This window comes from Homo sapiens, chromosome 19, assembly GCF_000001405.40.
Source record: "Homo sapiens chromosome 19, GRCh38.p14 Primary Assembly".
In the NCBI taxonomy this organism is placed as follows: Eukaryota; Metazoa; Chordata; class Mammalia; order Primates; family Hominidae; genus Homo; species Homo sapiens.
In genome coordinates, this window is record NC_000019.10 from 15,850,633 (window position 1) to 15,877,900 (window position 27,268).

Sequence of the window (27,268 nt, forward strand, 5' to 3'; positions counted from 1 at the left end):
AAATTCTAAGGCCTCCCAACCATCTGAATGGACTCCTCCTTTCTCGGCCAAGGGTATTCCAAAGTTAACCTGAAAAACCTGAACCTAGTTCAGGCCATGATGGGAAGAGAAGGTAGAAGTAGAAGGGGCCAGACATGCCTCATTACAGCCTCCTCCCTTTTGGTATTCAGGAAAAGCAGACCAGCATAAACGTCAATGCAGACCTTAAGTCTGATAAGAAACATTTACCATCTATTCTCTCTGAGGCCTGCTACCTGGAGACTTCATCTACATAATAAAACCTTGGTCTCCACAACCCTGTATCATAATCCAGACATTCCTTTCTATTGGTAATAACTCTTTCAACGAATTGCCAATCCAAAAAAATTTTTTTTTTTTTTGAGACACAGTCTTCCTCTGTCGCCCAGGCTAGAATGCAACGTTACAATCTTGGCCCACTGCAACCTCTGCTTCCCAGGTTCAAGTGATTCTTCTGCCTCAGCCTCTGAGTAGCTGGGATTACAGGTGCCCACCACCACGCCCAGTTAATTTTTTTGTATTTTTAGTAGAGATGGGGTTTCACCAGGTTTGCCAGGCTGGTTTCAAACTCCTGACCTCAGGTGATCCACCCAACTCAGCCTCCCAAAGTGCAGGGATTACAGGCATGAGCCACCGCACCTGGCCTGCCAATCAGAAAATTTTTAAATCTACTTATGACTGGGAAGCCCCCACTCTGCCAACCCTGCATCGCTGCCCAGCTTCAAGTCGTCCCACACGTCCAGATTCAACTAATGCAAATCTTACATGTATTGACTGGTGTATTATGTCTCCCTAAAATGTATAAAGCCAAGCTGTACCCCAACCACCTTGGGCACATGTTGTCAGTACCTCTTGAGGCTGTGTCAGGGTTACATCCTTAACCTGGGCAAAATAAATTTTCTAAATTGATTGAGACCTGTCTCAGATATTTTCGGATTCACACAACTGACAACCACAAAGCTTCATTTCTTGGCTACATTTATATCCATAGTGGGTCCACAGAAGCTCTGTTCTGCAGGGTCTTCTTCCTTGCAGGACCAAGTGTGAAAAAGTGGCCTCTCTCTGGGATGGGCTGTTCTTGTAGCAAGGGAAAAGCAAAAATAATATAACCACATAAGGCTCTTAAGGTTCCTGCTCAGTGGTGGTACATGCCAATTCCTGTTCCATCTCATTACCTCAAGCAGGAGCATGGCCAAGCCTGGCTTTAATGGGAGTGGGAACTACAATCCCCTTGCAGGGATAGACGGACCCAACATTGCTCCTGGGGCGTTTCTTCCACTCAGCAGAAATCAGAAAAGGACATGAAAAGTGAGTAAGCCTTGTGCCAAGAAAGACTCTAGGCTTTGGAGAAACGTCCTTTATTGTTGCCTCTGGGGATTCAGAGCCCAGAGAGGGCAGGGATGGAGGTTGAGGATGCACAACAAGAGGTTTACACCAATCTTATGGGGTAGGGGCCTAGGTCAGCAGCTCTGCCTCTTCTCACAGATGTAAACAGGAGACTCTGATTTGCAAGAGGAGTTGCTCCAGTGTCCCTGGTAGAGCATCATCACACAGGCTGGGGTGGTTCCATTATCATCCAATTTCCTGGAGTCCCAGTTTCTGTGAAGAGATGCCCACCACATCCCTTTCTGATGGGACCAGAGCCTGAAGCCCCAACTCCTGCCCTCTGTGAGTCAGGATCTGCCACCTGAAGCTCAAGAGGCCCCCAGTTATTGGGGCCTCTTATTGAGCCCATTGTATGGCCACTTATTGAGCCCATTGTATGGTAACCATCTGGTCAACCCCTTCCCTCTTTTTTTCCAAGTGGAGCTCAGATAGGAGTAGCAACAAGGCCACAGTCTTCAGAAAAGCTGAAAGTCTTCCAGCTCCTGGGCCACCATCCGACTGCCCCATCCCTCTGGGCTTCTCCCCTTCTCCAAGGTCCATTCCGCTTGAAACCAGACAGACCCCATTCAAATTCCAGCTCTGCCACTTGTATCTGTTTGACTACGGTCTTAATGTCTATGAGCTGCCGTTTCCTGTTTCACAAAATAGAAATTCATTCTGAGGATATGATGACCAGTGCACATAAGGTATACGGAAGGTGCTCAGATTGCAGATCAATCTGCCAATGAGACAACTTCTGCCCTAAGCTTGGCCCCATGCAGAGCAGCTTGCCAGTCAGGGAAGGTGATGCAGGAGGTAGGAAATGTCGCAGAAAAAGGCATACAGTGTGAGGATGCAAGACAATGCCAAGAGGTATAGTGAATTAAAGTGTCCTCTCCAAAAATATATGCCATGTCCAACCCCCTAACACCTGTGCATGTGACTTTACTTGGAAAGGGGGTCTTTACAGCTGTAATTAAATGAAAGCTCTCAAGATGAGATCATCCTGGGTTTGTCAGGTGGGCCCTAAATCCAATGTTGAGTGTCCTTATAACAGACAGAAAAAAGGAGACACAGAGGTGAGGAGAAGGCCGTGAGAAGACAGAGGCAGACAGTGGAGTGATGCCGCCGCAAGCCAAGGAATGCCTGGAGCCACCAGAAGCTGGAAAACACAGGGAAAGATTCTTCCTCAGACCCTTTGGAAGGGGCATGGCCCTACCGACATTTTGACTGGAAACCTCTGGCCTCCAGAACGGTGAAAGAACACATTTCTGTTGTTTTAAGCCACCCAGTTTGCAGTACTTTGCTATGGCAGCCATGGGAAAGTCATACAGTTGGCAAATGCTACATTGTTTCACTCCTTCTGAGTAGGCTTAGTGCTCATTAGCACATTCAGGGCTCTGAAAAGTCCTGCAACAAAGAAAGCAGTTTGACAACAGGTGCTGGCAAGGTTGCAGAGAAACGGGAATGCTTTTACGCTGTTGGTGGGAATGTAAATTAATTCAACCATTGTGGAATTCCTCAAAGATCTAGAACCAGAAATATCATTTGACCCAGCAATCCCATTACTGGGTATATGCCCAGAGGAGTATAAATCATTCTGTTACAAGGATACATGCACGCCTGTGTTCATTGAAGCACTATTTAAGACATGGAATTAACCCAAATGACCATCCATGATAGACTGGATAAAGAAAATGTGGTACGTATACACCATGGAACACTATGCAATCGTAAAAAGGAACGAGATCGTGTCCTTTACAGGGATATAGATGGAGCTGGAAGCCATTATTTTCAGTGAACTAATGCAGGAACAGAAAACCAAACACAGCGTGTTCTCACTTATAAGTGGGAGCCAAACAATGAGAACACATGGACACAGGGAGGGGAACAACACACAGTGAGGCCTGTCAGGAGGTGGGGTTGGGGGAGGGAGAGCATTAGGAAAAATAGCTAATGCATGCTGGGTTTAATATCTAGGTGATGAGTTGATAGGTGCAGCAAACAATCATCGCACACATTTACCTATGTAACCAACCTGCATATCCTGCACGTGTACCCCAGAAATTAAAATTCAAATAAAATTTAAAAAAGATTATGACTCTCTCTGAAGGCTCAGATGATTGTTAGCACTTTTTATCAATAAAGTATATTTAAATTTAAAAAAAAAGAGTTTGACATTGAACCCATAATTTCTCAAGCACCAAACTGGGAACACTCTTGTCAAGTAACAAAATAACTATAACTAGGATAATAGAAAAGATGTCGGCTGTGCGCGGTGGCTCACGCCTGTAATCCCAGCACTTTGGGAGGCCGAGGCCGGCGAATCCCCTGAGGTCAGGAGTTTGAGACCAGCCTGGCCAACATGATGAAACCCCGTCTCTACTAAAAATACAAAAAATTAGCTGGGTGTGGTGGCAGGTGCCTGTAATGCCAGCTACTCAGAAAGCTGAGGCAGGAGAATCGCTTGAACCCAGGAGGCAGAGGTGGCAGCGAGCCAAGATCGCACCACTGCACTCCAGCCTGGGCAACAAGAGTGAAACTCCATCTTAAAAAAAACAAAAAACAGAAAGGATATCAGGCAGTTTGGGAGCTACTACGGGTACTTCATTGTGAATGAATGAAAGAGAAACACCTACAGTGGTCATAACTTACTGCCTGAAAGCCATGCCTGCCTCTTAGGGGAGACTATCTTTGGTGTCAAAGGAGATACTCACATGTAGGTGGGGGCTGAGCCATCCATCCACCTGTGGGCACTTCCTTGGCCATCTTTGAAGAGGCCTATCCAGGATGTCGCCTGGTTAGTTGATGTCAGGAAGTCCTGGAAGGAAGAAGTTACATTTGGGAGGTGGAATTCCTTGGAAGCTGAAAGGATGGAGGCAGGGGTGTACAGAGGGCGAGAGGAGTAAGTTGCAGAGATCACAGTTAGATGGGCAGGCAGACAGAGGCAGGCAGGGAATTCACTGCCCTTGAATCTTGACTTTGAATCTCAGATCTACTATGTATTAGGTTGGTGCAAAAGTTATCGTGGTTTTACCACTATAGAAAACAGTGTGGAGATTCCTTAAAGAACTGAAAATAGGGCCGGACACGGTGGCTCACGCCTGTAATCCCAGCACTTTGAGAAGCCAAGGCGGGTGGATCACCGGAGGTCAGGAGTTCGAGACCAGCCTGACCAACATGGAGAAATCCCGTCTCTACTAAAAATACAAAATTAGCTGGGCATGGTGGCACATGCCTGTAATCTCAGCTACTCGGGAGGCTGCAGCAGGAGAATTGCTTGAAGCTGGGAGGCGAAGGTTGCGGTGAGCCGAGATCACACCATTGTACTCCAGCCCGGGCACCAAGAGCAAAACTCTGTCTCAAAAAGAAAAGAAAAGAAAAAAAAGAACTAAAAATAGAACTACCATCTGATCTACCAATCCCACTACTGGGTATCTACCCAGAGGAATAGAAGTCATTATACGAAAAAGATATTTGCACAAGCACTTTTATAGCAGCACAACTCACTATTGCAAAAATATGGAACCAGCCCAAACGCCCATCAATCAATGAGTGGATAAAGAAACTGTGAGATAGATATATACTGTGAGATATATATATACTGTGAGATATATATATACACATATATACACACATATATAATATATACACATATGTATACTGTGAGATATATATACACATACACATATGTGTGTATGTGTACATATATACATGTGTGTATATATACATATATACATATATAATATGTGTGTATATATATACACATATATACACGTGTGTATATATACACATATACATATATACACGTGTGTATATATACACATACATACATATGTATATATGTGTATATGTATGTATATATGCACACACAGTGGAATGCTACTCAGCCATAAAAAGGAATGTATTAATGGCATTTGCAGCAACCTGGATGGAATTGGAGACCATTATTCTAAGTGAAGTAACTCAGGAATGGAAAACCAAACATCGTATGTTCTCTCATAAGTGGGAGCTAAGCTATGAGGATGCAAAGACATAATAATGACACAATGGACTTTGGGAACTTGGGGGTAAAGGGTGGGAAGGGGTGAGGGATAAAATTAGGTTCAGTGTATACTGCTCAGGTGATGGGTGCACAAAATCTCACAAATCACCACTAAATAACCTACTCATGTAACCAAGTACCACCTGACCTCAGGTGATCCACCTGCCTCCACCTCCCAAAGTGCTGGGATTACAGGCGTGAGCCACCGTGTCCGGCCCTATTTTCAGTTCTTTAAGGAATCTCCACACTGTTTTCTATAGTGGTAAAACCACAATAACTTTTGCACCAACCTAATACATAGTAGATCTGGGATTCAAAGTCAGGATTCGAGGGCAGTGAATTCCCTGCCTGCCTCTGTCTGTCTTCCCATCTAACTGTGTCTCTGCATCTTACTCCTCTCGCCCTCTGGACACCCCCGCCTCCATCATTTCAGCTTCCAAGGAATTCCACCTGTTCCCCCAAAACCTATGGAAATAAAAAATAAAATAATCGCAGTTTTTGCCATTGAAAGTAATACACGTTGCAATGGCCTCCAACAATTCAGCCACCCCTCAGTTTCCCCATCAGCACAAACAAAAGAATGGAGATCCCCAGCTCTTAATATATTCTCACGGCCGGGCACGTTGGCTCACACCTGCAATCCCAGCACTTTGGGAGGCCGAGGTGGGTGGATCACGAGGTCAGGAAATCGAGACCATCCTGGCTAACACAGTGAAACCCCGTCTCTACTAAAAATACAAAAAAACATTTAGCCAGGTATGGTGGCGGGTGCCTGTAGTCCCAGCTACTCGGGAAGCTGAGGCAGGAGAATGGTGTGAACCCTGCAGGCGGAGGTTGCAGTGAGCCGAGATCGCGCCACTGCACTCCAGCCTGGGCAACAGAGCGAGACTCTGTCTCAAAAAAAAAAAAAAAAAAATATATATATATATATATATATATATATATATATATATTCTCACAAGTCAATTGTGAGAAGTGTGTGCACCTAGGAAGACCCCCTGGATAAATATTGGCTGTGAGTGTGCATGTCAGAGCAAGCAGTTTGATCTATAGGCCGTAGGAAGACTTCTGTCAGGAGACTCAATCCCAGGGACAATCTTGAGACCCTATCTTAGGTCAAGCCTTGTTTTTGGCCTAGGAGACCCAGACATGATTCAGATCTAGCCCCAGAGTCAGTGGATACCAGGCAACCCCAATGCAGCATGAAGTTCTGGGATAAAGATCTCTGATGGGCCGGGCACGGTGGCTCATGCCTGTAATCCCAATACTTTGGGAGGCAGAGGAGGGTGTATCACCTGAGGTCAGGAGATCGGGACCATTCTGGCCAATATAGTGAAACCCCATCTCTACTAAAAATACAAAAATTAGCTGGGCGTGGTGGCGGGCGCCTGTAGTCCCAGCTACTTGGGAGGCTGAGGCAGGAGAATCGCTTGAACCTGGGAGATGGAGGTTGCAGTGAGCTGAGATTGCGCCACTGCACTCCAGCCTGGCGACAGAGTGAGACTTCATCTTTAAAAAAAAAAAATCTCTGATGATGCTACAAGAGGATGTGGAGGAAGGGATGTTTGTGTTGGGCTTTTGAGGGATGAATAAGACTTCTCCATGCAGATGGCAAAGGAAAGGACTGTCCAGAGAGTGACCCACAGGAATCAGAGCTTCGAGACAAGACTACAGTGCACAGGGTCCGTTCCCTGAATGACGGAGCAGTGAGATTGGGCTGGGGCAAGGGAAGGCAGATCTTCAAGATCCTACTAAGAGTACTGTACATGATCCCAAAGGGGATAAGGATAGGAATCCCAAAATTCTTGTAGAATCCTTCCTCCACCTCCACTAGGGTCCTAACTTTCCGTTTCCCACCTATTCTGCTCAGCTGTTGATGACAACCAAGTGAGCTGCTTCTGGGCACAAGAATCAATGGCCTGGGGCCAGGTGAGGTTGTCTGAAAAGAAGCTGTAACAGGAGCCCTGGAAGGCCTTCCAGCTCTTGGGGCAGGGCAGGCAGGAGGATTCTGTGAGGATGGAGCCATTAGCAAATTTAGTGTATCCAGCTTTCCACCCAGTTGCCCACCCACTCGCTTCTGGCCACATTCCTAATGGCTTCCACTTGAATACACCCAACAATGGGGAACTCACTACCTAGACAGTTGGTGCTTGACATTACTGAAACATATCAGAAGGACATACTAAAATGCCATAAATATCCTACTGGGTGTGTTAGCTCACGCCTGTAATCCAAACGCTTTGGGAAGCCAAGGCAGGTGGATCACTTGGGGTCAGGAGTTTGAGACCAACCTGGCCAACATGGTGAAACCCCATCTCTACCAAAAAAAATACAAGAATTAGCTGGGCATGGTGGCACGCACCTAGTCCCAGCTACTTGGGAGGCTGAGGTGGGAGAATTGCTTGAATCCAGGAGCTGGAGATTGCAGTAAGCCAAGATGGCATCACTGCATTCCACCCTGGGTGACAGAGTGAAGCTCTGTCTCAAAAAAAAAAAAAAAATGCCATAAATATCCTATTAAGTGGAAAAGGCAACTGTAGGAATAATGTGCCAGGCGCGGTTGGCTCACGCCTGTAATCCCAGCACATTGGGAGGCCGGGGCGGGTGGATCACTTGAGGTCAGGAGTTCAAGACCAGCCTGTCCAACATGGTGAAACCCCATCTCTACTAAAAATACAAAAATTGGCTGGGTGTGGTGGCGGGTGCTCATAATACCAGCTACTAAGGACCCTGAGGCAGGAGATTGCTTGAACACAGGAGGCAGAGGTTGCAGTGAGCTGAGATCACACCATTGCACTCCAGCCTGAGAGAATGTGAATAATATACTACCTTTAAATAAAATAGAAAAGCATATGTTTGACATTCCTTGTTTTCTTAAAGAAACTCTACGGCTGGGCACAGTGGCTCACGCCTGTAATCCCAACACTTTGGGAGGTCGAGGCAGGTAGATCACGAGGTCAGGAGATCGAGACCATCCTGGCTAACATGGTGAAACCCCGTCTCTACTAAAAATACAAAAAAAAAAAAAAAATTACCCGGGCGTGGTCGTAGGCACCTGTAGTCCCAGGTACTTGGGAGGCTGAGGCAGAGAACTGCTTGAACCTGGGAGGCAGAGCTTGCAGTGAGCCGAGATTGCACCACTGCACCCCAGCCTGGGCAACAGAGCGAGTCTCCGTCTCAAAAAAAAAAAAAAAAGAAAGAAAGTGTAAAGCAGTGGTCCCCAGTCAGGGGCGATTTTGTCCCCAGTGGACATCTGGCAATGTCTGAAGGCATTTTTGTTCACCACAACTAGCGGAGAGGTACCACTGGCATGGAGAAGGTAGAGACCAAGGGTGTTGCTAAACACCCTGCAATGTACAGGACAGCCCCTTACTGCAAAGAATGATTCATCCCCACATGTCAATCGTATTGAGTTTGAGAAAGGCTGCCCTAAAGGAATAAAGCCCAGCTAATTCCAGTAGTTCTTGGGAGTTTGTGTTGGGGCTTAGGTGGGGAACATGGCAATGAGGTTTCAGGAGTGGGAGGGAAAATTCTCACTGATTTTATCTATATCCATCTACAGAACACATACACCATCAATCATTACTTGTGGGTTCCATATTTACAAATCCACCTACTCACTGAAATGTATTTGTAACCCCAGAGCAGATACTTATGTCATTTTGGGGGTCATTTGTGCGGATAAGCAGAGTAGTGAAAAGTTTGAGTCTGAGATAGAAGAAAAGAACTCTCTGCTGTCTTGTTTCAGCTTTCCTGCTGTAAACAAGTGTCCTTTTCATGGACTATTAAGTGCCATGTTTTTCACATTTTTGTGCTTTTCTTTCTTTCTTTCTTTTTTTTTTTTTTTTTGAGACGGAGTCTCATTCTGTCGCCCAGGCAGGAGTGCAGTGGTGCGACCTCGGCTCACTGCAACCTCTGCCTCCGGGGTTCAAGTGATTCTCCAGCCTCAGCCTCCCGAGTGGCTGGGACTACAGGCACACGCCACCGCATCCGGCTAATTTTTGTATTTTTAGTAGAGATGGGGTTTCACCATGTTGGCCAGGCTGGTCTCAAACTCCTGACCTTGTGCTTTTTGTCGATGACTTTGTTGTTGAAAATGGCCCTGGCATAATGCTGAAGCACTGTCTAGTGTTCCTAAATGCAAGAAGGCTGTGATGTGCCTCGTGGAGAAAATATGTGTATTAGAGCAGCTTCATTCAGGCTTGAGCTATAGTGCTGTTGACCATAATTCAAAGTGAATGAATTAACAATATATATAACACGTATTTAAACAGAGCCTGTAATCCAGCACTTTGAGAGGCCAAGTTGGGTGGATCACTTGAGGCCAGGAGTTCAAGACCAGCCTGGGCAATATGGCGAAACACCGTCTCTACTAAAAATACAAAAATTAGCTGGGCATGGTGGTGCATGCCTGTATTCCCAGCTGCTTGGGAGGCTGAGGCAGGAGAATCACTTGAACCTCGGAGGCAGAGGTTGCAGTGAGCCAAGATCATGCCAGTGCACTGCAGCCTGGGTGGCAGAGGGAGACTCTGTCTCAAAAAAAAATGTATTTAAACAGAAACACACACAAACAAGGCTACGTAATGATCAGTTGACAAAATGCTGTGATGAGAGTCTCGCTGGAACCTAACTGTATTTTCTCCTGGGACCTGTGGTTCAGGATTCATGAAATCAGTTCTCTCTGGACTTCATAGTGTGTAGCAATGGTGGATACTAAGACTCAACGGCATATACAGCATATCTCATCCTGTCATTCAAAAGTTCTATTTACATTCTGTTAAGTGAAATAAGCTAGGCACAGAAAGATAAATCCTGCATGATCTCACTTATCCGTGGAATCTAAAAAATCTAATTCGTAGAAGCAGAGAGTACAACCGTGGTTACCAGGGAATGGGGGAGGGGGGGTGGGGTAAGGAGATGTTGGTCAAAGGATGCAGAGTTTCCATCAGACAGGAGAAGTAAGTTTGGTCATGATCCACTGCACAGCATGGTGACCATAGTTAATAATAATGTCATCTCTATTCCAAAATTCCTCAAAGAGTAGATTTTATTTTTTCTTTTCTTTCTTTCTTTCTTTCTTTCTTTCTTTCCTTCTTTCTTTCTTGCTTTTTGTTTTGTTTGTTTGTTTGAGACGGAGTTTCACTCCTGTTGCCCAGGCTGGAATGCAACGGCACAATCTTGGCTCACTGCAACCTCTGCCTACGGGGTTCAAGGGATTCTCCTGCCTCAGCCTCCCAAGTACCTAGGATTAAAGGCTCCCATCACTACGCCCGGCTAATTTTTTGTATTTAGTAGAGAAGGGGTTTCACCATGTTGGCCAGGCTGGTCTCGAACTCCTGACCTCAGGTGATCCGCCCGTCTCAGCCTCCCAGAGTGCTGGGATTATAGGCATGAGGCACCACGCCCAGCCAAGAGTAGATTTTAACTGTTCTCACCACATACACACAAAAGAATATGTGGGTGAGGTGATAGTTTCATTAGCTTGATTTGCTGATAGATATGTTCATTAGCTTGTGGAATGATTATTCCACAATGTATGCATTTTAAATTTTTATTTTTATTTTTATTTTTTTGAGACAGAGTCTTTCTCTGTCACCCAGGCTGCAGTGCAGTTGCATGATCTCAGCTCACTGAAGCCTCTGCCTCCTGGGTTCAAGCAATTCTTGTACCTCGGCCTCCCAGGAAACTGGGATTACAGGCATAGGCCATCACGACTGGCTAATTTTTGTATTTTTAGTAGAGACAGGGTCTCACCATGGTGCCGAGGCTGGTCTCAAACTCCTGGCCTCAAGTGATCCACCTGCCTTCCTTGGCCTCCCAAAGTGCTGGGATTACAGGTGTGAGTCACTGTGCCTGGCCCACAATGTGTACCTTTATCAAAACCTCACATTATACCTCATGGATCTATACAATTATCCATTGAAATTTTATAAAACATTTCATTTAATTAAATGTTCATTTAAATTTAAATTAAACTTGCATTAAAGTCAATTAAATATTTTTCAAAGTTTTATTAACTTTTTGATATCGACTTAATTTTTTTTAGTTTTGGGAAGGAAAAGAGTTCTACTTAAAATATGTAGCACAAAGGTACCACCTACAACGGAATGTGATCCAATAGGGTTGTGTGGAACCCAGGCATCTGCATTTTAGCAAACTCGCTGCATTCATCTGACAGGCTGCAGAGGACCCACTGTATTTTGCAGCACACTGATGTGGTGATTTAAAGTGGAGGCTCCGGTCAGAGGTAGATTTACAGCAGACACCTGTAATCCCAGCACTTTTGGAGGCCAAAGTGGAAGGATCGCTTGAGCCCAGGAATGTGAGACAAGGCTGGGCAACATAGTCCAGGGAAAGAGGAGGGGAGGGAAGGGGAGGGGGAGGGGGAAGGGAGGAGGAGGGAGAGGGGAGGGGAGGGAGAGGGGGAGGGGGAGGGGAAGAAGAAGGGGAGGGGAAGGGGGAAGGGAGGGGAGGGAAAAAGAAAAGAGGAGGCTCTGAATCCTGACAATGACTCTTGAGAATGACACTGCTCATTTCCCCCCGATTCTGCAGCTGAGGGAACTGAGGCTGAGAGAGGTTAAAGGGGCTGTCCCCGCGGTTGCACACAGCCACACCTGCAGAGCAGGTCTCACTGTCCTCAAAGCCTTACTTTTCTGGTATCCCTTCACTATCCGTTGGTCTGACCATGTCACCTCAACTTTCTCCATGTTCCGCTAGCACTAAAAAGACCCAAGAATCCCCCGGGCATTGGGCTGCCTTTCCGAGATCCCTGCTACAGGAAGCCCCCGTCACCAGTGCCGAAAGGAGCAGAGTCCCCGCCCTTCCCCCACCTCCCTTTCCCCACTCCTCACCATTGCGTGCCTGGACAACCTTTATTTGCCTGAACATTTCACCCCGAATGAAGTCCCGGTCATGTCCGGTGTCTGCCAGCCCCGGTGTCACTGAGAGACCCAAAGAGAACGCGCTGGTAAAGGTCTTGGCAGAGTTGCGGGTTGGGAGATGTGATTAAGGGTCGGGGGGCGGGGCATCTCCTTGGACGCCCACTCACCTTTTTCATCCCGCACATCCTTCGTCATCCTCAAGACTGGGGAGAGACGCCAGCAGCATGTTCTAGACGCTCCCCTCACTCAAAGAACCTCCCTGGGGTTTCTCTGTGTTCCCCCAACTCCCAGAGTCCAAGACTTTCTTCCAGCCCCAGGGCAAGGCACTTTGGAGCTCTGAAATGTTCCACTCATTTTGCGGATGAGAAAACCCAGGCCCAGGGACATAAAGTTTCTTGTCTAAAAGCAACCAGCTAGTGAGTAGTAAGGAGGGAATTTCATTCCAGTGTGTCTGGACTGTTTAGGGAATGCAGGCAGCCTGGAGGTTCTAATCCCAGCTCAGGGCTGGGCTTAGGGGAGGTGCTCACCAATGACTCAAACCTGCTCGCTAATGATTCTGCTCCTTCAGTTCATACACACCCCCGCATGCCTCCCTCTGAGGCTGGTGAGGAGGTCAGCTCCCTCCTGTGTCACCATGGTCACCCCCAGGGACACGACCAGCAGCCCCTCCGGCTCCACCCCTATCCCAGCGTTTCCGAATCCGACCCACCCTACAGGTTGGGAGCCCTCATGGCTGCTGTCCCGGGGCCACCTGGTCCCCCTGATTCAGCCGCCTTACCTCTGGACAGAAGCACACTGAGGAGAACAACCAGGAGAAGCAGGATCAGAGACACCACCGGGCAGAGATACTTCCAGGTCTTTTTTTATTTTTTATTTTATTTTGTTTTTGTTTTTTTTTTTTTTTTCCGAGACGGAATCTTGCTCTGTCGCCCAGGTTGGAGTGCAGTGGCGCAATCTCCGCTCTCTGCAAGCTTTGCCTCCTGGGTTCACGCCATTCTCCTGCCTCAGCCTCCCGAGTAGCTGGGACTACAGGCGCCCGCCACCGCGCCCGGCTAATTTTTTGTATTTTTAGTAGAGATGGGGTTTCACCGTGTTAGCCAGGATGGTCTCGATCTCCTGACCTCGTGATCCACCCGTCTCAGCCTCCCAAAGTGCTGGGATTACAGGCGTGAGCCACCGCGCCCGGCATTTCCAGGTCTTGTCATGGGGCTTCTGTGCCCGTTGCCCTGGGTGGAAACCAGGTCAGCTTCCCCTCCCTTCAGGGATACCCACTCTCTTTTCCTTAGATGCCCGAGACTCCTCTCAGGCTGCAGGGAAATCGCTGAATCCCCCGTGCTCTTCTGGGACCCCTGCTGAATGCACCGGATGTTGAGGACTCAGAAAAGACTAGAAAAAGAAGCCTGTCCCTCTGGGATGTGGAGTAATGAGGAGGAAGCCTCAGAAAGATGGGAACTCCATGCCCTCTCTTTCTCCTGCCTATGGTTAGAGTGCAGGGGCAACCCAGCACCCAGCTCTTTTTTTTTTTTTTTTTTTTTTTGAGATGGTGTCTCGCACTACCACCCGGCCTGGAGTGCAGTGGCACGATCTCAGCTCACTGCAACCTCCGCCTCCAGGGTTCAAGAGATTCTCCTGCCTCAGCCTCCCAAGTAGCTGGGATTACAGGCGCCCGCCACCACACCCAGCTAAATTTTTTGTATTTTTTAGTAGAGACGGGTTTTCGCCTGTTGGCCAGGCTGGTCTTGAACTCCTTACCTTGTGATTCACCTACCTCGGCCTCCCAAAGTGCTGGGATTATAAGCGTGAGCCTCCGCGCCTGGCCCACCAAGCTCTTAATTGCACATAAAAGGGTTTCTGGTCCCAGCTTCTTGACTCACCAGTTTCCCCCAGCCTGGGGGGAAGTTTGGGCCCCAATGCTGATAATTCTTTGGGGTCCTTGCTGCTAGCATCCCTGCCTTCAATCATGACCGCAGCTCACTCTGCTCTGAGATGCTCCTACTCTACATGCTTATTTCTGGGAAACTCCACCCAGCCCTTGGAAGGAAACACTCCCCTTCAAGTCTCTTACACTGCTCCTCCTTCCTGGCTTAGAGTGTGGCCCGAGATCCTGAGATATCTGGTCATCTGTTAACACAGCCGGAAAGAGGACCTGGGTCTCTGAGCTCAGGAGGCAGTGGGCACCAAGTCTCCTCTGCAAAGCTGATTTCTGTCCAAGGTGACTGAAACACAAAGCAACAGAGAACGGAATCTCAGATCCCTGTACTGACACCCCCACCGCCACTCTCTGCTTCTCACAGCTTAGCATGAAAAGTGCTCTTGGCTTCTCACGATGAAGTGGTGGACATTTCAACCGAGGAAATGATTTGTGTGACTCTTTTCTTGGACACCGAGGACAATGACATTTCCCAACAGCTTTCATTCATCTCCCCAGCTAGGTAGCTACTTGTAGTTTTAATGTGGCCAACAAGCATATGAAAAAAAAATCTTTACATCACCGGTCACTAGAGAAATGCAAATCAAAACCATAATGAGATTCCATCTCACATCAGTCAGAATGGCTATTACTACAAAGCCAAAAAATAACAGATGCTGGGGGCAGGGGGTTGCAGAGAAAACGGAATCCTTATACACTGTTGGTGGGGGGTGTAAATTAGTTCAACCATGGTGAAAAGCAGTGTGGCGATTCCTTAAAGAGCTAAAAACAGAACTACCATTTGACCCAGCAACCTGATTATAGAGTATTCATCCAAAGGAATATAAATCATTCTACCATAAAGACACACACATGAGAATATTTATCGTAGCACTATTCACAATAGCAAAGACATGGAATCAACCTAAATGCCCATCAATGATAGACTGGATAAAGAAAATGTGGTACAGATACACCATGGAATACTGTGCAGCCATGCAAAAGAACAAGATCACGTCCTTTGTAGGAACATGGATGGAGCTGGGGTCCATTATCTTAAGCAAACTAACGTAGGAACAGAAAACCAAATACCACATGTTCTCACTTATAAGTGGGAGCTAAATGATTTGAACACACGGACACATAGAGGGGAACAACACACACTGGGGCCTATTGGAGGCTGGAGGGTAGGAGGAGTGAGCGGATCAGGAAAAATAACTAATGAGTACTAGGCCTAATACCTGGGTAACAAAAATAATCTGTAGAACAAACTCCCGTGACACAGGTTTACCTGTGTAACAAACCTGCACATGTACCCCTGAACGTAAAATGATATTTTAAAAAAATGAATACAGGCCAGGTGCGGTGGCTCCTACTTGTAATCCCAGCACTTTGGGAGGCCGAGGCAGACAGATCACCTGAGGTCAGGAGTTCAAGACCAGTCTGGCCAACATGGTGAAACCCTGTCTCTACTAAAAATACAAAAATTGGCTGGGCGTGAGGGTGGGTCTCTGTAGTCCCAGCTACTCGGGAGGCTGAGGCAGGAGAATCACTTGAACCCAGGAGACGGAGGTTGCAGTGAGCCAAGATCACACCATTGCACTCCAGCCTGGGCAACAGAGAGAGATTCCATCTCAAAAAAGGAAAAAAATATCCAATCCACTGTTGATGGGCACCTAGGCTGATTCCACATCTTTGCTATTGTGAGTAGTGCTGCAGTAAACACACAAGTGCATGTGTCTACCTAGTAGAATAACGTATTTTCTTTTGGGTAGATACCCACTGATAGGATTGCTGGGTCAAATGGTAGCTCTGTTTAAAGTTCTTTGAGAAATCTCCAAACTGCTTTCCACAGTGGCTAGACCAATTTACATTCTCACCAGCAGTGTTCCCTTTTCTCTGCAATTTTACCAGTATTTGGTTGTTTTTTTTTTTTTTCACTTTTTAGTAACAGCCATTCTGACGGGTGTGAGATGGAATCTTATTGTGGTTTTGACTTGCATTTGTCTGATGATTAACGAAGAGGAACATTTTTTCATTTGTTTGTTGGCTGCTTCCCTATTCAATAAATGTTCGTGGGATAACTGGCTAACCATGTGCAGAAGAATGAACCGGGACCCTGACCTTTCACCATGTACAAAAATTAACTCGAGATGAATTACAGATTTAAATGTAAGACCTCAAAGTATTAAAATCTTAGAAGAAAACCTAAGAAACATCCTTCTTGACATCAGCCTTGGCAAATAATTTTTGGCAAATCCCAAAAACCAATTACAACAAAAACAACAGAGTGAGACTCTTTCTCATATTTATATTGAGTATCACAGTCTTCTAAATAATTCCAATGTATTGAAATATAATGCCCTAATCCTGATATTTGTTGTTTTAGGTCACTATGTTTTGGTGGGGGGCTGACTTGTTACATAGTAATAGACAACTATTACACAGGCTTAAGCACTTAATAAATATCTTTTTTTTTTTTTTTTTTGAGACAGAGTCTCACTCTGTCACCCAGGCTGGAGTGCAGTGGTATGATCTCAGCTCACTGCAACCTCCACCTCCCGGGTTCAAGCAAAGCTCCTGCCTCAGCCTCCCTAGTAAAGTAGCTGGGACTACAGGCATGCACCATCATACCCGGCTAATTTTTGTATTTTTAGTAGAGACGAGGTTTCACCATGTTGGCCAGGCTGGTCTTGAACTCCCAACCTCAAGTGATCCTCCCGCTTCGGCCTCCCAAAGTGCTGGGATTACAGGTGTGAGTCCTTTTTTTTTTTTTTTTTCTTAAGATACAGGGTCTCACTCTGTTGCCCAAGATGGAGTGCAGTGTGCCTGGCCTTAATAAGTACCTTTTGAAAGCACAAATGAACTATACAATTGGAGTTTATCATACAGAAGCACAGTCCGACTGGGACCCAACTGTGTCAGCGTCACTCCCAGATACCTTGCCTATCAGCACTTCCTTATGACAACCACGTTAAAATCATATGTTACCTGTTCATGAAATAAATCGCAATTAAAGGACAACTGCTCAAGTTCTAGCCAACTTCTTGGGGGTGAGTCTGGGGAGAAGTTTAGAAGCAATATTTCTGACAAATAAATAGCGATATCGTGTGGTACTAGTGTTGATCGTGTTTGTCATTTATTCAGAAATGTTTACTGAACCGGCTGGGGGTGATGGCTCATACCTATAATCCCAGCAGTTTGGGAGGCTGAGACGGGCAGATCACTTGAGACCAAGAGTTTGAGACTAGCCTGGCCAACATGGCGAAACCCCGTCTCTACTAAAAATACAAAAACTAGCTAGGCGTGGTGGCACACACCTGTAATCCTAGGTACTCAGGAGGCTTAGGCACGAGAATCTCTTGAGCCCGGGAGACAGAGGTTGCAGAGAGCCAAGACTGCACCACTGTACTCCAGCCTGGGCGACAGAGTGAGATGAAAAGAAAGGAAGAGAGAGAGAGAGAGAGAAAGAGAGAGACAGAGAGAGAGAGAAAGAAGAAAGAAGGAAAGAAAGAGAGAGAAGAAAGAAAAAGAAAGGAAGGAAGGAAGAAAGAAAGAAAAAAGAAAGAAAAAGAGAGAAAGAAAGAAGAAAGAAAGGGAGGAGGGAGGAAGGAAGAAGGGAGAGATGGATGGAGGGAGGGAGGAAGGAAGGAAGGAGAGCTAGAGATAGAAGAAGAAAGAAAGAGGAAAAAAGAGAAAGAAAGAAAGGGAAAGGAAAGGAAAGGAAGGAAAAAAGAAAGAGCAAAAACAAAAGGAGGGGAGTGGAGGGGGATCACGCCACTGCACTCCAACCTGTTGACAGAGTGAGACTCCATCTAAAAAAAAAAAATGCTATTTTATATTTTATTTTTTGAGATAGTCTCACTCTGTTGCCCAGGCTGGAGTGCAGTGGCGCAATCTTGGCTCACTGCAACCTCCACCAACCAGGTTCAAGTGATTATCTTGCCTCAGCCTCCCATGGAGCTGAGACTACAGGCGTGTGCCACCATGCCTGGCTACATATTTTGTATTTTTAGTAGAGATGGGGTTTCGCCATGTTGGCCAGGCTGGCCTCAAACTCATGGCCTCAAGTGATCCACCCACCTCGGCTTCCCAAAGTGCTGGGATTACAGGTGTGAGCCACCGCGTCCAGGCTAAAAATGCTGTTTTAAACACTGGGAAGCACAGGAAAAGATGCTCAACATTATTGGTCATTAGAGAGGGGAAGGAAGGGGCGGGGGAGGGGAGAGAAGGAGAAATATTTACTGAATTATGTCTAGGCTCTCTTCAAGCAGGTGTCTTAGATGGGTCTCCAGAAGCAGATTGAGATAAAGAGCCTGGTGTTGGGCCTATTGTTAAGTGTGAGCCTTAATCGGAGAGGGGGTGCGGTTCACTGGGAACCTCTAGAGGACAGTGTAGGGAATGCACTGAGTTATTCCAGGAAAAGGGCTGGAGGGTGGGGGGTTGAAGGATTCATCTGCCAGCAACCATCAGTCCTTGGTTAAGAACCAATCAATGAGAGGTTAATTTCCCAACACTTCTGGGCTTGTCTGAGAGGCAGAGTGAGATCCAGCTACAGGAAGCTCTGCAGCAAAGAGACGTTGGCAGTTGGAAGACAGGATAGTAAATATTGCAACAGCAATATGCAAAGAGTTACAGGCAGAGCTCTAACAGAATCTACTATAATTGAATAAACAGAACAAGAACAGACAGGACAAAAGAGATCTCTCTGCCTTATGGAACTTGCAGCTCGATGAAGAAGACAAACGATAAAGGATTGCGTACCCTATCTGCTTTCAATAAACTAGGAAACAAACACTCTCTCAGAGCAATAAAATGCTATGACAAAAACTGATCATGGGATAAAAATTATCTGGGATGGGGGGCTGTTTAGATAGAGGAGGAAGAGCTTGGATGAAAAGGTGCCATTTCAGCCAATCCTGGAATCAGATGAGACTCAGTCACAAAAGAGCTGGGAGAAAAGCATTCCAAGCACAGGGAACCGCAAATCCAAAGGCTGTGAGAGAAGAACAGAGAGTCTATTAGGGAATCAGAATTGAGCCCAGGGCGGCCAAGTGCAGAGAGGGAGGGAGAGCAGCTGGGAAGGAGGTTTGAGGGGTCTGCAGGGATCAGTGGTGCCGAGTCCCTTATGCTAAGAGATAAATGTTTGTAGCAGGATCTTATTGGGAGACATTCACTGAGGTTTCCTTCAGCTCCCACCCCCTTGCACTTCCATGTGCCCCCATCGCTTTCAGAAAAAAAAGAAGCGCCTCCTATATGCACAGCAGAGAGGGCAGGCAGAGCTCATTCAATGAGCACACGTTAGAATTCTTGGCCAGGCGCAGTGGCTCACGCCTGTAATCCCCAACTCTTTGGGAGGCCGAGGCAGGCAGATCAGGAGGTCAGAAGTTCGAGACCAGCCTGACCAACATGGCAAAACCCCGTCTCTGCTAATAATACAAAAATCAGCCGGGCGTAGTGGCACGCGCTTGTAATCCCAGCTACTCCAGAGGCTGAGGCAGGAGAATGGCTTGAACCCAGGAGGCGGAGGTTGCAGTGAGCCGAGATTGTGCCACTGTACTCCAGCCTGGGTGACAGAGCAAGACTCTGTCTCAAAACAAAAAACAAAACAAAACAAAGAAACAAAAAGAATTCTTGCCGGACAGGCATGGTGGCTCACACCTGTAATCCCAGAACTTTGGGAGGCTAAGGCAGGCAGATCACTTGAAGCCAGGAGTTCGAGACCAGCCTGGACAACATGGTGAAACCCCATCTCTACTGAAAATACAAAAATCAGCCATGCGTGGTGGTGTGCACCTGTAATCTCAGCTACTCAGGAGGCTGAGGCAGGAGAATCATTTGAATCCGGGAGGCAGAGGTCACAGTGAACCGAGATCACACCACTGCACTCTAGCCTGGGTGACAGAGTGAGACTCTGTCTCAAAAAAAAAAAAAAAATTGTTGCCATTGATTTCCAAGATACACAAATAACAGTCTCAAAAGACCTTTTGAGATCTGCAAGAGCCAGGCTTTCTGAGGCAGGAAGTAATAATGGCCACGTTTATAGTGCATTTTCTATAAAGTGGCACAGCTCTGAGCCCCTTATATTTAGTCCCTGGGATGAGTCTGACGTAGGTGCTGTTGTCTCCATTATATGGTTGGGAAACCAAAGCACAGAGAAGGGAATTAACTTGCCCAAGTCACACAGCAGAGCTGAGGCTTGAGCCCAAGCAGTCCGGCTCCAGATCCCATGCCTTTGGGTGGTGTTTGCATCCAGTGGTCTGGCTTTGAATCTCTAGAGCCAAAAGGGATGACCCTGACCCTGACCCCCCCAAAAATGGGCCAGGGAGGCCTGTGCTGGGAATGGAGGAGGAACTTAGAGGTGAAAGGATGGGGATGCACCTTCCCCCCGACACTCTTATGAGAGCACCTGGCACACAGTTGGGAGGGAGGGGTGCTCAGGTAGCATCTGCTGGACAGGCTGCCTGTGCAGCATCAGGGACCCAGAAGAGAAAGGGACTCAGAGCCTCAATATTGCCCCTTAAATCCATCCTAAAACCTGGTCCCTCTCCTGCTCAAGCACCTCCCATAGCTCCTTATTGCCCACATGATAAAGTCCATTGTTGGGCTCTGAACCTGCGATCCATGTGGTCAGCCAGAGAGGCAGTCAGGGTCTTGGCTTCAGAGACCCTGCCCCACTTCCACCCACACACACCCTGGATCCTTGCAGTCCCCAAGCAGCCCCTGCTGGCTTTAGATGAGACTCAGGCAGAGGTGACAAACATTTTATTCCTGGGAATCTGCAAAGGTGGGTGGGTGGGGTTAGGGTGGATCCCTGCAGGCCTCAGCTCAGTGGCTCCACCAGCAGCTAAAGTCCGCCCTCCGCATGCATGATCAGCTCTGGCTTCCTGCCGGGCTCCATGTGGTGCCGCAGGAAGCGGAAGCCCAGCAGCGTGAGTGCCAGGACCACCTTCATCTCGGCCACGGCGAACACCTGCCCCATGCAGATCCTGCGGGCAGATGAGAGGACTCTGACTGTGCCCAAGACCCGCATCCTGGCCCCATCCTGGCACCATCCCCCAAACCAGGCACAGCTCTGAGAGGATTACTGTCTGCAAAATAGAAAAGCAATGCTGCAAAATGAAATAAATATACATTAGATATATAGCCTAAGTTATGTCACATTCATTTCTCTTTGCCTTTAGAGTTCATAGTTAAATTTTTCATTCCAAAATGATGAATATTCCCATAAAAAAGACAAGTAAGCAAAAGTAAGAAATAGAAGTTATCCACAATCCCATGTCAAAATAAGCACTGTAAATATTCTCTCACACGTCCAGGTTTTTTATTTATATGTAATCTTTTTATCTGGGAAAATGCTTATTAATATCTAAATTTATTACATTTACGTGCAATATTTTTGTTTAAAAATGCTATTTTAGGCTGGGTGTGGTGGCTCATGCCTGTAATCCCAGCACTTTGGGAGGCTGAGGCAGGTGGATCACGAGGTCAAGAGATGGAGACCATCCTGGCCAACATGGTGAAACCCCGTCTCTACAAAAAATACAAAAATTAGCTGGGTGTGGTGGCACACTCCTGTAGTCCCAGCTACTCGGAAGGCTGAGGCAGGAGAATCGCTTGAACCCAGGAGGCAGAGGTTGCAGTGAGCTGAGATCACACCACTGTACTCCAACCTGGCCACAGAGTGAGACTCTATCTAAAACAAAAAATGCTATTTTATATTTTATTTTATTTTATTTTATTTTATTTTATTTTATTTTATTTTATTTTATTTTATTTTATTTTATTTTTTGAGACAGTCTCACTCTGTTGCCCAGGCTGGAATGTGGTGGCGCAATCTTGGCTCACTGCAACCGCCACTACCCAGGTTCAAGTGATTCTCCTGCCTTAGCCTCCCAACCAGCTGAGACTACAGGCATGCACCACCACGCCTGGCTACATATTTTGTATTTTTAGTAGAGACAGGGTTTCGCCATGTTGGCCAGGCTGGTCTCAAACTCGTGGCCTCAAGTGATCCACCCACCTCGGCTTCCCAAAATGAATTACAGGTGTGAGCCACTGCGTTCAGCCTGAAAATGCTGTTTTAAACACTGGGAAGCACAGGAAAAGGTGCTCAACATTATTTGTCATTAGAGACAAGCAAATCAGAACCACAGTGTGATGCTTCTTCACAGCCCCTAGGATGGCTGGAATCTAAACATGGGAAAATAACAAACATCAGCTAGTATGAAAGTGAGGCTAAGAGAAGAACTGTTTTAAGATTGAGGAAATATAGCATTATATGTATTCCAACAGGAATGATCAAATAGAGTGTAGGATACACGGTCAATAAACAAAACTCAATTATATTTCTACATCCCACATATTTCACTGTTACAGGTAAGAACTCTTTGGCCGGGCATGGTGGCTCGCACCTGTAATCCCAGCACTTTGGGAAGCCGAGTCTGGCGGATCACTTGAGCCCAAGAGTTCAAGACCAGCCTGGCCAACATGGTGAAACCTCATCTCTACTAAAAATGCAAAAATTAGCCGGGCATGGTGGCATGCCCCTGTAATCCCGGCTACTCAGGAGGCTGAGGCATGGGAATTGCTTGAACCTGGGAGGTGGAGGTTGCAGTGAGCCAAGATTGCACCACTGCATTCTAGCCTGGGTGACAGAGCGAGAATCTGTCTTAAAAAAAAAAAAAACACCAAAACAACAACAACAAAAACAAACAAACAAAAAAACAAACAAACAAAAACCTGTTTGCCTAACCTGTATATCCCAGGGATACAGAAATATTTCAACCCCCGGGACATAGGGATTAGGCAAAGAGTTCTTAAATATAATGGCGTAAAAGTAATCCACAAAAAACAAAATTGATAAAGGGTACTTCATAAACATTAAAACCTTTCGCTCTATAAAAGAAACTTCAGGGCTGGGCTCGGTGGCTCACACCTGTAATCCCAGCACTGTGGGAGACTGAGGCAGGTGTGTTAGATATGAGTTCTAAATTTCTTTTCAAAGAATCAATATGTCAGGATGTTCAATTCTTTGCCTTCTACTTTTAAATTTAACTTCCTCATAAAGCAGCCTTTTCGGATTACCTGTTCCACCCTGACTCATTCCTATTACCTACTCCACCGTGACTCATTCTGATTACCTGCTCTGTCATAACCATTTTTCCCGCCAAACCACTCATCCCACCACTCTCTTTAAATTAGCCAATCGGAATTAGTTTAGCCTGTGTGGTCTAACCCTAGCCAATAGGGGAACGACACAGCAGCAGGGGCCACATGCATCAAGGATAAGAACCCCTTCCCCTCCCTTGTCCAAGTGTGAGCTCACCATTGCTCCATCTGTAAGGGCGCACCCTTCTATAGAAGTACCTTTCCTTGCTGAGAATTAAAAAGAAAATTTTATATTCGAGTGATATTTCTTTTGCGGCACCAAAACTTTACTTATAACAGGTGGATCACCTGAGGTCAGGAGTTCGAGACCAGCCTGGTCAACAACGTGAAACCTCGTCTATACTAAAAATACAAAAACTAGCGGGGCATGGTGGCAGGCACCTATAGTCCCAAGGCTGAGACAGGAGAATTGCTTGAACTCAGGAGATGGAGATTGCAGTGAGCCAAGATGGCGCCACTGCACTCCAGCTGGGGCGACAGAGTGAGACTCTGTCTTAAAAAGGAAAAAAAAAAAGAAAAGAAAAAAAACAGATAATGAAAAGGCTAGCCGCAGACTAGGGGAAAATACTTGCAAATCACACATCTGACAAAAGACTTGTCTGCAAAATATAATCTATAAAGAACTCTCAAAATCCAAAAATAAGAAAGCAAACAACCCAAGGAAAATTAATGGACAAAAGATTAGAACAGACACTTTACCAAAGAAAATACAAAGAAGGCACATGAAAAGATGGAGAAATGCAGACTAAAATCTCTGTGACATACCGCAGCATACCCACAAGGAAGACTGGAAAAAAAAACTGACACTATCAAGTACAGGTGAGTATTTGGAGGAACTAGAATTCTCATACCAATACAGGAGCTAGAAAGAAATTATTTTGGCAGATAGTGAGGATAAGACAGTTATCAGTAAGGTTTCCTTTTCATAAAAAGCAGCCCCCAAGTCATTTCTTTTCTAACAAAAAGCAGCCTGAAATATCAAGCTGCAAGCACAGATAAGCAAGCTGGAAGTTTACATGGGTAAATGCCGGCAGCTGTGCCAATAGAAAAGGGATATCTGGAAGCCAGGTGTATTCAACTTGGAGGTTTCCTCTTCCCTTTTCTTTGTCACCATGTGTGTAGTGAAAAGCAGGCAACAGGTAGAAAAAGCACCGGCCAGGTAGAGACCCCTATCTGCATAATAAAAGATCAGGGTGGGATAGCCAGCTTCCTCCCATGCTATGCAAACAGCACACCTGGTCTGACCAATCTTTCATGCCCTATGTAAATCAGGCACTGCCTCCTCAAGCTTGTCTATAAAACCCCATGCGTTTCACCACAAAACCACAAGACCCATTCAGGAGCCCCTCTTTCTCTGCAGAAGAGAGAGCTTTTCTCTTTTCTCTCGCCTATTAAACCTCCACTCTTTTTTTTATTTTTATTTTTTGAGATGGAGTTTTGCTCTTGTTGCCCAGGCTAGAGTGCAATGGTGCGATCTCAGCTTGCTGCAACCTCTGCCTCCTGGGTTCAAGTGATTCTCCTGCCTCAGCCTCCCGAGTAGCACACTACAGGTGTGCGCCACCACACCTGGCTAATTTTTTGTATTTTTAGTAGAGACAGGGTTTTGCCATGTTGGTCAGGCTGGTCTCGAACCCCTGACCTCAGGTAATCCACCTGCCCCAGCCTCCCAAAGTGCTGGATTACAGGCATGAGCCACTGCGCTCAGCCTAAACCTCAACTCTTAAGCTTACTTCTTGTGTGTCGGTGTCCTTGATTTCCTTGATGTGAGATGATGAACATTGGGTATTTACCCCAGACAACAACGCCACTTCAATACATTCCTGATAGGAATTAAAAATGACATGGACCTTTTGGAAACAGTTTGATAGTTTCTCATCATGGTAAACATACACTGATAATATGCCCCAGCCATCCCATTCTAACAGCAATGGGAATTTAGTTTCCCTGAAGAACCTGTGTACAAATATCCATAACAGTTTTATTCATAATATCCAAAAACCAGAAACAATCCACTTGCCCTTCAGCCACTGAACAAAGAGTGTCCTATCCATGCCCAGAAATTCTACCCAGCAATAAGAGGAAACAAGGTTTTGATACAGACAACATGGGAGACTCTCAGATGCTTTATACTAAGTGAAAGCAGCAAGACTCCTAGGCTCCCAATGGCATAACCCCATTCACACAACTATAGGAAGAAAGCAAATCTATGGGAAGACAGAAAACAGCAGTGGTTTTCAGGGGTCAGGAGTGGAAGGAGGTTTTTGACCACCAAGGGTGGCTGTGGCAGTAGTGGTTACATGACTCTAGCCATGTGTCAAAACTCTGAACTATCTCACGCCTGTAATCCCAGCACTTTGGGAGGCTGAGGGGGCAGATCACCTGAGGTCAGGAGTTTGAGACCAGCCTGGCCAACATGGCAAAACCCCATCTCTATTAAAAATACAAAAATTAGCCGGGTGTGGTGGTGTGCACCTGTAATTCCAGTTACTTGGGAGGCTGAGGCGGGAGAACCGCTTGAACCCAGGAGGTGGAGGTTGCAGTGAGCTGAGATTGCACCACTGTACTCCAGCCTGGGTGACAGAATGAGACTCTGTCTCAAAAAACAAACTGAACTAAGCACCAAAGAAAACAAATTCTGAAAATTTAATGTGATTTTAAGATGAGCCATGAAAATACAGGAGTGGCAAGTAAGCACACTCATTGTAATGTAGGCATGCTAATATGTAATTAGGGTGACTAATTACATATATTGTTTGGCTAAATATACTATGAAAGGATGCACTAGGTGTGAAAGTATTTACCTTTATACACATGAAGAAACTGGGCAGATGAAGGGCATATGTAGCACCATTACTTCTCACTGGGTATTTTATTTTTTACACGAGTGAATGTACTTCTGGTCAACAATATTATATTTAAAAACTTGGGGCTGGGTGCAGTGGCTCACGCCTGTAACCCCAGCACTTTGGGAGGCCAGGGCAGGTGGATCATCTGAGGTCAGGAGTTCAAGACCAGCCTGGCCAACATGGTGTAACCCCGTCTCTACTAAAAATACAAAAAATTAGCTGGGTGCGGTAGAGCGTACCTGCAATTTCAGCTACTCGGGAGGCTGAGGCAGGAGAATCGCTGGAACCCGGAAGGCAGAGGTTTCAGTGAGCCAAGATTGTGCCACTGCACTCCAGCCTGGGCGACATAGTGAGACTCCATCTCAAAAAAAAAAAATCGGGACTGGGAGGAGGGGCTCACACCTTTAATGCCATCACTTTGGCCAGGAGTTTGAGGTTGCAGTGAGCTATGATTGTGCCACTGCACTCTAGCCTGAGAGACTGAGGGAGACTCTGTCTCAAAAAGACAAAATGAATTAAAAAAGAAAAAGAAAAAGAAAAAGAAACAAAAAACAAAACAAAGCAAATGTAGGCACCACCTGTCAAAGAGTCTCATCTACTCAGTCTAGAGTCTGTAGGGGTTCCCAGGTAATCTGATGTGCCTAGGGCTGAGACTCGCTTTGAAAATCATGTCCTTGATACGATAAGGCATGACCTCTGATGCCAACTGCTCAGATTCACCCCTGACTCCACCCTTCACTGAGTGACCTTGAACAAGTGAGTTCATCTACAATCTGTAAGATCGATGTGAGGATGAAATCAGCATTTACCTGGGGGAGCTGAAAAGTCACCTTCTCCCTTCTCAGTGATCTACTTCTGTTAATACGACCAAAATATTCAGTGTCTGTGGAATTTCCAGATCATAACTGTTCTATGAAAGGTGTCTAACCACACCTGTATCTTACATGAATATTTGTGCATCTATTGCTGTGAAAATGAGATCTCTACCCCAAAAGTTACTTGATGAAGAATAACTCAATTTGTTACTAATAGT

At 46.2% G+C, this 27,268-nt stretch overlaps 2 pseudogenes across 2 annotated transcripts, besides 1 other annotated feature; both read right to left on the reverse strand.

The window, feature by feature from the left end:
* Nucleotides 1–1,360: 1,360 nt before the first annotated feature.
* CLEC4OP (C-type lectin domain family 4 member O, pseudogene) lies at nt 1,361–14,292 on the reverse strand (annotated as a pseudogene). 2 transcript variants are annotated; one of them, NR_171052.1, is made up of 3 exons: nt 14,184–14,292; nt 4,101–4,204; nt 1,361–1,617 (listed from the first exon to the last, which is right to left on the reverse strand). The product of NR_171052.1 is annotated as a C-type lectin domain family 4 member O, pseudogene, transcript variant 1 (transcript). The 2 variants fall into 2 exon arrangements; NR_171053.1 differs by lacking the exon at nt 14,184–14,292 and adding an exon at nt 12,280–12,401.
* Nucleotides 14,247–14,541: a silencer, noted in NCBI's record as "tiled region #12980; K562 Repressive DNase matched - State 8:EnhW". NCBI's record gives its function as "represses a minimal TATA promoter and a strong SV40 promoter by Sharpr-MPRA in K562 cells {active_cell/tissue: K562}" and the evidence as "EXISTENCE:reporter gene assay evidence [ECO:0000049][PMID:27701403]".
* CYP4F36P (cytochrome P450 family 4 subfamily F member 36, pseudogene) lies at nt 21,035–21,220 on the reverse strand (annotated as a pseudogene).